This window comes from Homo sapiens, chromosome 9 (assembly GCF_000001405.40).
Source record: "Homo sapiens chromosome 9, GRCh38.p14 Primary Assembly".
Taxonomy (NCBI): domain Eukaryota; kingdom Metazoa; phylum Chordata; class Mammalia; order Primates; family Hominidae; genus Homo; species Homo sapiens.
In genome coordinates, this window is record NC_000009.12 from 109572259 (window position 1) to 109586514 (window position 14256).

Consider the following 14256-nt stretch of genomic DNA (forward strand, 5'->3'; position numbering starts at 1 on the left):
AGGTAAGATCATGCCACTGCACTCCAGCCTGGGTGACAGAGTCAGACCCTGTCCCAAAAACAGACAAACAAAAACAAAAAGAAGGCATCCAAATAGGAAGAGAGGAAGTAAAACTATCTTTGTTTGAAGACTATATGATTTTATACCTAGAAAACCCCATAGTCTCTTCTCAAAAGCTCCTAGAGCTGATAAACAACCTCAACAAAGTTTCAGGATACAAAATCAATGTATAAAAATCAGTAGCATTTCTATATGCCTACAATGTCCAAACTGAGAGCCAAATCAAGAATGCAATTCATGACTATTGCATTCACAATAGTCATACACAAAAACAAAGTACCTAGGAATATACCTAATGAGGGAGGTGAAAGGTCTCTACAATGAGAATTACAAAATGCTGCTGAAAGAAATCAGAGATGACACAAATAGAAAAACATTCCATGCTCATGGATAGGAAGAATCAATATTGTTAAAATAGCCATACTGCCCAAAGCAAGTTATAGATTCAATGCTATTCCTATTAAACTACCATTGAGATTCTTCCCAAAACTAGAAAAAACTATTTTGAAATTCATAGGGAACCAAAAAAGAGCCCAAATAGCCAAGGCAATAATAAGCAAAAAGAACAAAGCTGGAGGCATCACACTACCCAACTTTGAACTCTACTACAGGGTTACAGTAACCAAAACAGCATGGTATTGGTACAAAAACAGACACATAGACCAATGGAACAGAATACAGAACCCAGAAATAAGACTGTACACCTACAACTATCTGATATTCAACAAACTTGACAAAACAAGCAACAAGGAAAGGAATCCTTATTCATAAATGGTGCTGGGATAACTGGCCAACCATATGCAGAAGGTTGAAACTTGACCTCTTCCTTACAACATATACAAAAATTAATTCAAGATGGATTAAAGACAAATGTAAAACCCAAAACCATAAAAACCCTAGAAGAAAACCTAAGAAATATCATTTTGGACGTAGGCCCTGGCAAAGATTTCATGACGGAGATGCCAAAAGCAATCGCAACAAAACCAGAAATTGACAAATGGGATCTAACTGAACTAAAGAGCTCCTGCACCACAAACACAAACAAAAGTCTATCAACAGGGTAAACAGACAACCTACAGAATGGGAGAAAATATTTGCAAATTATGCATCCAACAAAGGTCTAATGTCCAAAATCTGTGAGGAACTTAAACAAATTAACAAGCAAAAGCAAACAACTCTATTAAAAAATGGGCAAAGGATGTGAACAGACACTTCTCAAAAGAAGACATACACATGGCCAACAAGCATATGATAAAATGCTCAACATCACTAACCATCAGAGAAATGCAAGTCAAAACCACCATGAGATACCATCTCACAGCAGTCAGAATGGCTATTTATTAAAAAGTCAAAAAGTAACAGATGCTGGAGAGGTTGTGGAGAAAAGGGAATGCTTACACACTGCTGGTGGGAGTGTAAATTAGTTCAGTCACTGTGGAAAGCAGTTTGGATATTTCTGAAAGTACTTAAAACAGAACTACTATTTGACCCAGCAATCTCATTACTGGGTATATACCCAAAGGAATAAAAATCATTCTATCATAAAGACACATACATGCGTATGTATGTGCATTGCAGCAATATTCACAATAGCAAAGACATGGAATCAACCTAAACGCCCATCAATGGTGAACTGAATAAAGAAAATGTTGTACATATACACCATGGAATATGATGCAGCCATAAAAGAGAATGAGATCATGTCCTTTGCAGCAACATGGATGGAGCTGGAGGCCATTACCCTAAGTGAATTAACACAGGAACAGAAAACCAAATGCCACATGTTCTCATTATAAATGGGAGCTAACCATTGAGTACACGTAGACACAAGGAAGGGAACAATAGACACTGGGACCTATTTGAGAATGGAAGGTGGGAGGGGGGTAAGGAATGAAAAACTGCCTATCAGATACCATGCTTATTAGCTGGGTGATGCAATAATCTGTACACCAAATCCCTGCAACACACAATTTGCCAATGTAACAAACCTGCACATGTACCCCCTGACCCTAAAATAACCTAAAATTAAAGAGAGAAAAATAAGTAAATAAGTTTCTAACAATCATTTATGTGATGCCCATACTGCTGAACTAAGGACCAAACTTTGAATTGCAAGGCTCAAAACCACCTACTCTCTTGAATAAAGGTAGTTACCTTGAGCTCTCACAAGGGGGTGCAATGGGCAAACAATTCTATTGCTATTCATAATGCATTGAATAAATTCATGGGATGTGCTTTTTTCCCCGCAGCTGCTTTGTTAATTATTATTTATTCCATGGAGGGGGCACAGTAGATGTCTCAGTGTGCTAAAAATAGATTTTCCTTTAAGCCATATTTTCTAAGAATTCATCAAGATTATGTTCACAGAAAAGAAAATTTGATACCTCTGTGATTAGAAGTGTCAAATAAAAATATTACTAAAGTTATTAGATATGAAAGATCAGAAATATGTGAAAATAATTATAGTAATAATAAAAGCATAATGATAAGAGCAGTCATTTATTCATACCTATTAAATGTGTGGTAGAGGACTAGCTGTTTTACTTAGATGGTTTCATTTAATCCTCACAACAACTTTATAAGATAGGTAATCTTGCCTTCATTTTACAGGTAAGAAAGCTGATGCTTAGAGAAGTTAAATAAAATGCTCAGGTTCTGGAGGTCATAGTGGAAGGGAAGAATTTAAAAATGCTCCATCTTTTCCCAAAGTCTACACTCTTTTGTGTTGCTTCCAGGGAATTTTCTGTTGGGATATAGAGGAGTGATACAGAATTATTGATTTGCCATACCATTAAAAAATTGAGATATGATTCACAAACAATAATGTGCAATTTCGACATTTTCAGAATAACTACGAGGCTGTGCAACCACCACCGCTATCTAATTGCGGAATATTTTATCATCCCTCTTTTTGAGCTGGGATATCCATCTTCTGGTCTTAGATGTTTGAGTTCCTGGTTCTCAGGCCTTCAGAATTAGGATAATTACACCACTGGCTTTCTCAGTTCTCCAGCTTGCAGACAGCATATTATGGGATTTCTCAGCCTCCATAATTGCATGAGCCAGTTCACATAATAAATTGCTCTATCTATCTATCTACCTATCTATCTCTATCAATCAATCAATCATCTGTCTTCTGTTAGTTCTGTTTCTCTAGATAGACCTGACTAATACAGTCCCCAGAAGAAATCCCATACTCATTAGCAGCAACTCTCCATTCTCCCTCCTGAAGCCTTTAACAATTATTGATCTACTTTCTATTTTTAAAGATTTCCGCATTCCAGACATTTCATATAAATGCAATAATACAATATGTGACCTTTTTGTGTTTGGCTTCTTTCACTGAGTTCAGTGTTTTCAAAGTTTATCCATGTTGTAGCATGTATCAGTGCTGCACCCCTTTTTGTGTCTGAATAATATTCCATTGTATAGATATACCACATTTTGTTTGTCTCTCCGTCAGTTGATGGACACTTGGGTTGTTTCCATTTTTAGCTGCTACGAATGTTCATATGCAAGTTATTGTAAGCATATGTTTTTAGTTCTCTTCAGTATATATTTAATAGTGGAATTGCTGGGTCCTATGTTTAGCTTTTTGAGGAACTGCCAGACTGTCTTCCACAAAGGCTGCACCATTCTACATTCCTACCAGTGATGTCTGAGGGTTCCAATTACTCCATATCCTTGCCAACACTTGTTATTGATTAACCATACTCTTTTTGTTTGTTTGAGACAGGGTCTTCCTCTGTCACCCAGACTGGTATTCAGTGGCATGATCATAGCTCACTGCAGCCTGAAACTCCTAGGCTCAAGTATCCTCCTGCCTCAGCTTCCCGAGTACCTGGGACTACAGGCGTGTGCCACTATGCCCAGTTAATTTTTTTATTTGTGTAGAGATGGGGTCTTGCTGTGTTGTCCAGGGTGGTCTCAAACTCTTGGGCTCAAGCAATCCTCCTGCCTCAACCTTCCAAAGGGCTGGGATTACAGATGTGAGCCACTGTGCCCAGCCTGTCATACCCCGTTGATAATAAATTAAAGAGAAAATCACCAAATTCTTAAAGTAAGATGCCCTTTAATTTTTTTTTTTTGAGACAGAGTTTTACTCTGCAGCCCAGGCTGGAGTGCAGTGGTGCAATCTCGGGTCACTGCAACCTTCATCTTCTGGGTTCAAGCGAGTCTCTGGCCTCAGCCTCCCTAGTAGCTGGGATTACAGGCATGCACAACCACGCCCAGCTATTTTTTTGTATTTTTAGTAGAGATAGGGTTTCACCATGTTGGCCAGGCTGATCTTGAACTCCTGACCTCAACTGATCCACCCTCCTCGGCCTCCCAAAGTGCTGAAATTAGAGGCATGAGCCACCATGCCCAGCCTAATTTTTTAAGAACAGTGAAGGGACTTCTGCTTGCTTCTCTGTCATTGACTGTGTGACCCTGTAGCATGATGTGGCCCTTTAGATTTTCAACTGTGTATTTGGGATAATAAAATACGATTTGCCTCCCTGGTAGTCCTGCCATGAAGCTAACACAAAACAGCTAAGGCATGAGAAAGCACTTTCACAAATGAAAGAACTGTGAGTGCCCCTCGTTGCATGGGCCCTTTCCAAGGCCCTGGCCTGGATCTGCTCTGTAACCTTTCTCCCTTTGCAGAGTGGCATGGGCGTGGCCAAGGGCATGTTGAATCAAAGCTAAGCTGAGTTGGCTTCTAAATGACTTGTTTCTAATAAGGTGAGTCCTAGATATCAAATACATCAGGGCAGTATTTCCATTTATTCAATAACAAACTGTAATGCACTTAGTACCTGTACTAAGTGCTGGGAATACAATATTGAATAAGATAATTGGAAATTTTAACAGTTTTCTTGGATACCAATGGACAGAGCAGACATAAAATAAGCAAAGAAAGACACAGAAGAATTAAATAACATTACTAATAAGCCTGAGAGAATAGATATATGTCATACTTTATATTCAACAAATTGAATATATACATTTTGGGCACACATTGTATGTTTATTAAAATTGGCCATGTTCTAGGTCACAGAAAAGGCACCAATTTATTCCAAAGATTCAGTATCATCAGGCAAACTATATTCCATGGTCATAATGCAATAAAATTAAAAATCAATAACAATAAAAACTGGTGACAGGGAATATTCCAAAAGAGCTAAAATGTTTTCCATTTTCTGGAAAACCAACCAACTAACCAACAAGAACCAAATCAAAACCAAAATTTGTAAAAAGTCCCTTAACTCCTTGGGTTAAAGAGGTTATCACATGTCAAAATGCATGAGGCACAACCAAAGCAGTTTTTACAGGGGAAACTAGAGTTTTTAATACACTGATCAGAAGACAGGAAACTTTGAAGGAAAATAAGCAACATATTCAACTACAATAGTTGGAAGAAGGCAACAAAAGAAACCTTATCAGAAGAGGATATAGAATAATACAGCATAATTAATGCTCTGAATTATACACACACAAGATGCTGAAGGAGCCCACTGCAGGGGCAGTTAACCTGGGAGTGGTGACCCATGAGCTGAGTTTGATGAGTTTGATGAATTAGATTAGGATATGGTGGGAAATTTCTGGGAGAAACAAAAACCAAGTGCATGGAGGAGAGAAGCAGCTAGTTGTGCCCAGCTTCAGGGAAGGGTCCCTGTAGATGAGTGGTCAGGGAGAAGGCTGTGGCCATGTCAGAAAGCTTTGTTGTGAAATGGATGGTGAGGAATAACACATTTTTTAAAAGAATTAAGAAGGTCAGCATAAGAAGTAGTTAAGGTGATGAACTCTAGAATTAGATGGTGGTAGTTTCAAATCCCATTCTTCCACATATTAGTTGTATGCCCATGGGCAAGCCATTTAATCTCTCTAAGCTTCAGTTTCCTCATCTGCAGTTAGATAATAATAATAGCTACTGGATAAGTTTATTGGGTATGTAAAGCACTTAGCACAGTGCCTGGTATAAAGTGAGGGTTTGTCTGTTGTTCCAGTGTAATTACTCATAGCGCACACCCTTTCACTATCAGAGGTGTCTCAGTTTGGCTGATAAATGATATGACCACATCTGGTTCGCACTGTATGTGATTTTTTTTTTTTTTTTTAGAAAAGTCATTCTGAATGCATGTTGGAGAAAGGAGTTAATAAAGGGACACTAGACTGGAGACAGAGAGGTCAGTAGGAAGGGCCTGAACCTGGCTAGTGGAAACTGACTGGAGAGTTTCTGAACAGAATTTTTGTAAAAAAGGCCGGGTGCAGTGGCTCATGCCTGTAAACCCAGCACTTTGGGTGGCCGAGGTGGGTGGATGACCTGAAGTCAAGAGTTCGAGACCAGCCTTGCCAACATGACAAAACCCTGTCTCTACTAAAAATACAAAAATTAGCCAGGAATGGTGGTGCATGCCTGTAATCCCAGCTACTTGGGAGGCTGAAGCAGGAGAATTGCCTGAACCTGGGAGGTGGAGGTTGCAGTGAGCTGAGACCATTGCACTCTAGCCTGGGCAATAAGAGCAAAACTCTGTCTCAAAAAAAAATTTTTTTTTTTTAAAGAAGCAGCATTAATGCAAGTGGTATCAGCACAATGCTTCTAAATGTATCCCAGTGCTTCCAACTTAGGTGACTGAAGGGGTGGTGACCGGGAATTTGCCGAAGTGAAGCCCACAGCACAGATTTGGGATGAAGTTATGTGGGATGGTGAATTTTGGACATGTTGACTCTGATGTCCATGTTTTGCAATGTGAGGAGTTCACTTGAGAATTGGAAAACAGATTCTGACGTTCAGGGAGAGGCTGGGCCTGGAGATGGAGATATGGATCTTCCTATGTGTGGGAGTGAATGAGATCACTCAGGGAGAGAATTGAAAAGTGAGAAGAGATAAGGACTCAAGACCAAGCCCTGAGGAAACTTGGGGCCAGGTAAGAATCCATGAAGGATGTTGGTACCTGGGAGCTTGTGTAAACCAGGGGAAATGAGGGTCACAGAAGCCAAGGAGGGAAGTGTCTTAAGAGGCAGTACATTGTTAATGGTGTCATCGCTACCAAGAGGGCATGATGTTGGACTCGGCCATGTGCATGTCATGGCCTCTTCAGAAAGCAAGCTTGTGTGACTTGGCAGGGCTGGAAGCAGATGGCAGAGTTTAGTTTGAAGGGCAGCTAAGGAGAAATGAAGAGTTGTATAAAGTTTCTCAGAATAGCGTAGGTTCAAGGCAAATCTGTAAGTCTGATAATTAAAATAATCCATTAAAAAGTTTTGATATGATTCACCTGGCTGACATATAAGCATCCCTAAGGTGTTATTTATTGTGCCCTGATATTGTGCCTGGCACTTTGCACATATTGTCTTATATGATGCTCACAGCGACTGCCTGAGGAATGTGTTCCCTTGACAAACACAGAAACTGATAAAGACTGTAAGTGATCTGCTTAATATCATACCACTGCTGAGGGTTAGAGCTGCAAGTTGCATTTATCGCTGACTCACTGCAAAGTCCATGTTCATTCCTCTGAACCTCAACTCCAACTTGAAAATGCCCCTCCTTTTTCAAGTATCTAAAAAAAAATTCAAAAGCACATGCTACATGGTGATGATTTAAAAAATAAAAAAATGCTGAAACTTCACGTAAGTATCAAAGAAGGCAATCACTTGTTTGTCACAGCACAACTTGGGGACCTCAGAAATATGAAAGGCATTTAAAAAAAAGTCATTGTGCTTTCTTGTGCTGAGAGTGGACAGTGGAAAAAGACCTGCCATTTCCACCTGAGCCCCACTTTAGGGAAACAAGGAAACTTTGTGTATCTTTCAGTTCCAGAAAAGGGGAGCCTTGTTCCTGAGTTAAAGAGCAAGTTTCATCTTAGCCTTCAAGAATGATGCCTTTTCATGTCTTCATGGGGTACTGGAAGCCCTGCCAAAACTCATGAGTGGAAAACCAGACCCAAATTACCCTGGGCAGTCTGCACTACTAGTCTCTGCCAAATATGAGGCTCCCTCAGGGGTGTTAGTACACCTTTGTCCTTGGGCCTTCATACCTGTGTTATTCTTCACGTTACGTGCATGTTATATAGAGCCTTTTAGGTGTATGGAACATTTCATAATACATTTCAAAATGCATACTTAAAAATATAAACAAGAAAGTAGGACCAATATTTTCAAAAGAAAAAGAGATAAATTCCCGTGGTACAAGAACCGTTAAAAAAAAATGGAGTTAATACATTTCATGCAATACTGCAGAGTTAAAAGAATGGACAAGATCTGTTTGAACCTAATGGAGTAGATTTTTTTTTTTTTTTTTTTTTTTTTGAGACGGAGTCTCGCTCTGTCACCCAGGCTGGAGTGCAGTGGTGCGATATCGGCTCACTGCAAGCTCCGCCTCCCGGGTTCACGCCGTTCTCCTGCCTCAGCCTCCCGAGTAGCTGGGACTACAGGGGCCCGCCACCTCGCCTGGCTAATTTTTTGTATATTTAGTACAGATGGTTTTTCACGGTGTTAGCCAGAATGATCTCGATCTCCTGACCTTGTGATCCACCTGCCTCAGCCTCCCAAAGTGCTGGGATTACAGGCGTGAGCCACTGCGCTCGGAACTAATTGAGTAGATCTTAAAAAATACATTGTTATGTGAAAATGGCACATTGCAAAATAACATGTACACTGTGATATTTACCTAAATGGAGAAAAAAAAAAACCTATGTATTTTCTATGGATATAGTCGTATGTATTAAGTCATATGTATTAAGTCGTATTTATGAAGGCTCTATGCCAATCTTGCATTTGTGGTTACTTGACGGCTGTGAGGAAGTATTGGTGCTGGAAGAACTGGGGTTACTGGAGACTTAAGAGAAATTCAGCTTGATCTATGACAGCATTTTTTTTTTTTTTGAGGTGGAGTTTTCCTCTTGTTGCTCAGGCTGGAGTGCACTAGTGCGATCTCGGCCCGCTGCAACCTCCGCCTCATGGGTTCAAGCAATTCTGCCTCAGCCTCCCGAGTAGCTGGGATTACAGGCACCCGCCACCAAGCCCGGCTAGTTTTTTGTATTTTTAGTAGAGACGGGGTTTCGCCATGTTGGGCAGGCTGGTTTCGAACTCCTAACCTCAGGTGATCTGCCCACCTCGGCCTCCCAAAGTGCTGGGATTACAGGCGTGAGCCACCATGCCCGGCCAACAGCTATTTTTAAAGTGTGGTCCCTGGACTTTTAGGAGTTCCTATGACTCTTTCAGGGGATCTTCAAAGTAAAAACTGTCTTAGTCCAGTTGGGCTGCTATAATAAAAGACCATTGATTGAGTAGCTTTGAAACAACAGAAATTTATGTCTCATAGTTCTAGAGGTTGGGAGTCCAAGATCAAGATGCTGGCACATTCAGTATGTGGTGAGGGCTCAGTTTCTGTCCCATAGACGGCATCTCACTGTGTCTTCCCATGGTGGAAGTAGGAAGGCAACTCTTTGGGACTTCTTTATTAAGGGCACTTATCTCATTCAGGAGGGCTCCACACTCATGATATAATCACCCCTCAAAGCCCCACCTCCTAATATCATTACATGGCCTATTAGATTTTCGATGTTTGAATTTGGGGGGAACACAACATTCAGTCTATAGCAAACACTAAGATGCCATTTGCCTTGTTCACTGGGTTGACATTTGCACTGAGGGTGTGAAACCAGTGGTATGTAGCACTGCTGGCGGCCTTAGCAGAAATCAGGCAATGGGGTCCGACTGTGCTGGTCATCACTGCCACAGCACTGCCACACAGTTGAAGTGAAAAAATAAGCCTGCCAATTTCACTTAAAAAGTGGTAAAAAATTGCCGGGCATGGTGGCTCACACCTGTAATCCCAGCACTTTGGGAGGCTGAGGTGGGCAGATCACTCAATGTCAGGAGTTCGAAACTAGCCTGGCTAACATGGCAAACCCCTGTCTCTACTAAAAATATAAAAATTACTTGGGAGTGGTGGTGGGTGCCTGTAGTCCCAGCTACTTGGGAGGCTGAGGCGGGAGAAGCGTTTGAACTCTGGAGGCGGAGGTTGCAGTGAGTTGAGATTGCATCATTGCACTCCAGCCTGGGCAACAGAGTGAGACCCCGTCTCAAAAAAAAAAAAAAAAAAAAGACAGTAAGAAAATTATTACTTTTATTAAATTTGGCCCTTGTGTATACATTTTAAAAGGATATTCTGGGTGATGAAGTATGCACAAAGTACTTTTGCTGCATTCCAAAGTACAATAATTGCCTTAAGAAAAAAGCACTTGTGTGTTGGAGTTGAGAGCTTTTTTCCATGAAACACCATTTTTATCTAAAAGAATGACTGTCAGGCAAACTGTGGTTACTCAGACTAGGGTATTTGGCAGATATTTTCCTGAAAATGAACAAAAGGAGCCTGTCATTTCAAGAAAAACAACTGACAGTATTTGTTACCAATGATAAAATACAAGTTTTTAAGCAAAAACTAGAATTTTGGAAAACTTGTTTCTGCCATCATGATCTTGACAACTCAAATACTTAAAGACTTTTCTGGTAAGATCAGTGGTAATATTGACAAATGGGATTCTTTTAATATTGTCTAATCAAATGAGCCAACATTTGGAAGATTTGAATGGCTGGTGAACCATTATTTTCCAAATGATCTATATGTTTTGTTACAAAACCATTTTTTTCTTTGTTTTACTGCATTTTCAACTTGAAGAAATTTTTTGCTGCAAGCTTGCTGTTATGGACTGAATTATATTCCCCCCCAGTTCATATGTTGAAGCCCTAACCCCTGGAACCTCAAAATATGACTGCAGTGTTTGGAGACAGGGCCTTTAAAGAAGTGATTCAGTTAAAATAAAGCCATTAGAGTGGGCCCTAACCAGGTATTGCTGGTGTCCCTATAATAAGAGGAAGAGACACCATAGGCATTGCACACAGAGAAAAGGCCGTGTGGGGACACAGTGAGAAAGCAGCCATCTGTAAGCCAAGGAGAGAGGCCTCAAAGGAAACCAACCCTGCTGGCACCTTCGTCTTTGACTTCCAGCTTCTGGCACTGTGAGAAATTAAACTTCTGTTGCTAGAGTAATCCAGTGTGTGATATTTTGTTAGGGCAGCCCTAGCAAACTAACACAGTAGCTTATCTTATAAGGAACCTAGATTAATAGAACTAAGGTTATTGAGGAGTGGGGCAACAATTTGCAGCACATAAAGATCCAAAGAAGTTTCTCTAACATTTCCCCCCAATTATTTTATACTTCATGTTCTTTTCTGTCATTTCCCTCTTTTCCTATTTCCCCCCTTTTTTTATGCCCCAAAGCCAAAACGTCAAATCTAGCCAAGGGTTGCTGCTGTTGCTGGTGTGTATGTGTGTTGTGTGCACATGCACATGTGTGCAGGGAATGTAGAATTGGAGGGTGACAAATAATTGCTGTTTTTGTTTTCTTTTTCATGTCTTGGCATTAATACAAACCTTTTTCTCTGACCTACTATTAAGAGAGCAACTTGGAGATGAGAGAGAAGAAATTTGATCATAAAGCTTTTGCCCCAAATGTCTTAGGCAGAGGTATTTGGGATTAACATAGAGACCCTTCAAAAAAAACAAAGTAAAGAGAAAAATATGCCTCTAGAAAAATAAGGCCAGGGCTATTATTTCTCAAGGAGTGAGGCCAACATCAAATTAGTGAGAAGAACATATATCCTTCTTGTAGCCTGATTGGGTATCTTTGGAAGGATAATTAATTTTTCTGTTTGCAAGTCTTGTTAGCCTTCCAGTATTTTCAGAAGAATAATTGCCACAGCATGGTAGGTGGAGATATATTTTTTTTTTTTGAGACAGAGTCTCACTCTGTCACTCTGTCACCCAGGCTGGAGTGCAGAGGCGTGGTCTTGGCTCACTGCAACCTCCACCTCCTGGCTTCAAGCAATTCTCCAGCCTCAGCTTCCCGAATAGCAGGGACTACAGGCATGTGCCACCATGCCTGGCTCATTTTTCTATTTATAGTAGAGATGAGGTTTCACCATGTTGGCCAGGCTGGTCTGGAACTCTTGGCCTCAAGCGATCCATCCACCTAGGCCTCCCAAAGTGTTGGGATTACATACATGGGCCGCCATGCCTGGCTGGTGGAAAGAATTTGAACTGCAGTCAAAGCACTTACTATTTCCCTGCCTCTTCCTAACTTGGAACTGAAACCACTCCCTCCTTGCCCAAGGGGAGTCAGCAGGCGTGTGAGATTGAGTTGGCCACCCAGAATCTTTTATGAGTGTTGTGTGGGTCCAAGTAAGACAGAGCTGCCCTCCCAAGCTTGAGACCCATGTCTGTTCTGGGACCCATATTCGCTCATGGCATCCCCAGCCAGTTCCCAGGGTCCTGTTGAGTTGCCCTTGTAATAATATCAGCAGCAATTAGTATCTATTAAATATTCGCTGTACACTTGAACTACTTATTGCCTTTGTTAAGTCAACAACAATCCTATAAGGTTATCATCCCTTGGAAGGGACTGGGTAGCTTCTCCCAAACCTGTTTCCCATTGTGGGCTCACAGCTAAACTCTATTTCCCAGACTCTTTCACCACTAAGCATGGCAACACGATTAAGTTTTAGCTATAGGTGTGTGCATGAAAGTATTGTGTGTTACTTCCAGGCCTGGGCTAAACAGTGCTCCCATATCTGACTCTCTACGTTCTTTTCTTCTCCTCCATCTTGTGCAGACAGGCGCCAGAATATTGGAAGCTGCAAGCTGCTTTTATAATCACATGTTGGAAGACAGCTGCCACCCATTTCGTACCCTATGAGAGAGACAAATAAACTCCTATTGTGTTAAGCCACTGAGATTTTTAGGGTTTATTCTAATAGGTTATTAGAGCAGCTCATAGTAATACTTAGTAAAATACATAGTAATACTTAGCAATACATAGTAAAACTTACACTGTAGTACATTCCCATTTTACAGGTTACAAAGCTGAGCCAGGCCAGGCATGACTCATGCCTATAATTCCAGCACTTTGGGAGGCTGAGGCAGGAGGATTATTTGAGGACAGGAGTTCGAGACCCCCGTCTCAAAAAAACATTAAAAAAATTAGCTGATGTGATGGTGTGTACCTGTAGTCCCAGCTGCTTGGGAGGCTTAGGCGGGAGGATTTTGTTTGAGCCTAGGAGTTCGAGGTTGCAGTGAACTATGATCATACCATTGCACTCTTGCTTGGGGCACAGGGCGTGACCCTGTCTCAAAAAGGTAAAAAAAAAAAAAACAAGAATAAGCTGAGCCTTGGAACATTTGTGTTATCCAGATTCTTACAACTAATCAGCAGCTGTATGTAACCTTAAATTTTTTGTATTTCCTTGAGTGTGTGAGTGTGAGAGTGTGTGTGTGTGTGTGTGTGTGTGTGTGTGTATAGCACTGATCTATTAGTGTTTATGGGCACTGTAAGTTTCCTGAAGTCCCTCTTAATCTTAAACAGGGAATGAGAAATGTCAGTTTTGGGTACCATACTGTACCTTTGTTAGGGGATGGAGAACCATGTGCTTCTGCTTCTGGGCACTGCTGAGCAAGAAGCAGTGACCCCAAAGCAACTAAAACTCCCTCCCCAGTGTGTCTGCAGCCGTGGTGCTGATCGACAAGATCCCAATTCTTATCTGCAATGTGGAGGGCCTGGCTAAGGATGACGCTGGCTTATGGGAGAATGTAACTCTATAAGATGCCAGCCTTTCCCAGGGATATCAGTTTCAGGAGCCTGGCAGCATGTGGAAGGAAAACAATCTCAGGTTTTCTTACCGTGCTCAGGGAAGGTCCCCCTCCCACCTTGCCATGTGGAATCTCTATTGGAGCATAGCAGAAAACAAACCACCCCCACGCCCTACCATTCCACTTTTTTCTGAGAACTGTATCAGCATAGAATCACGTATTGCGGAAGCCTGGGCAGTGATGTGGCTGGTGTCTGTCTTCCAAGCCTATGCCCAGCTCTCTACTATGTAGATTTAGAAACTGTTAGAATGTTGGTGCTCAAAAGGATATTAGTGACTATTTTGGGCTGATAACCTCACTATAGAGTTCAGAAAACTGAGGCCAGAGAGAAGTGACTCAATGAAGTTCACAGAACTTGTTAGTGGCATATTTGAGCCCTTATTACATGCTTACCTCTTTGTTTCAGGATCATGTTTCCAAGAAAAGAGACTCAGACTCTAAGGCTTGTGTGTAAGAAATGCATTTATTGGATAGAGCCCTTGGGAACACACCTGAGAAGGAGT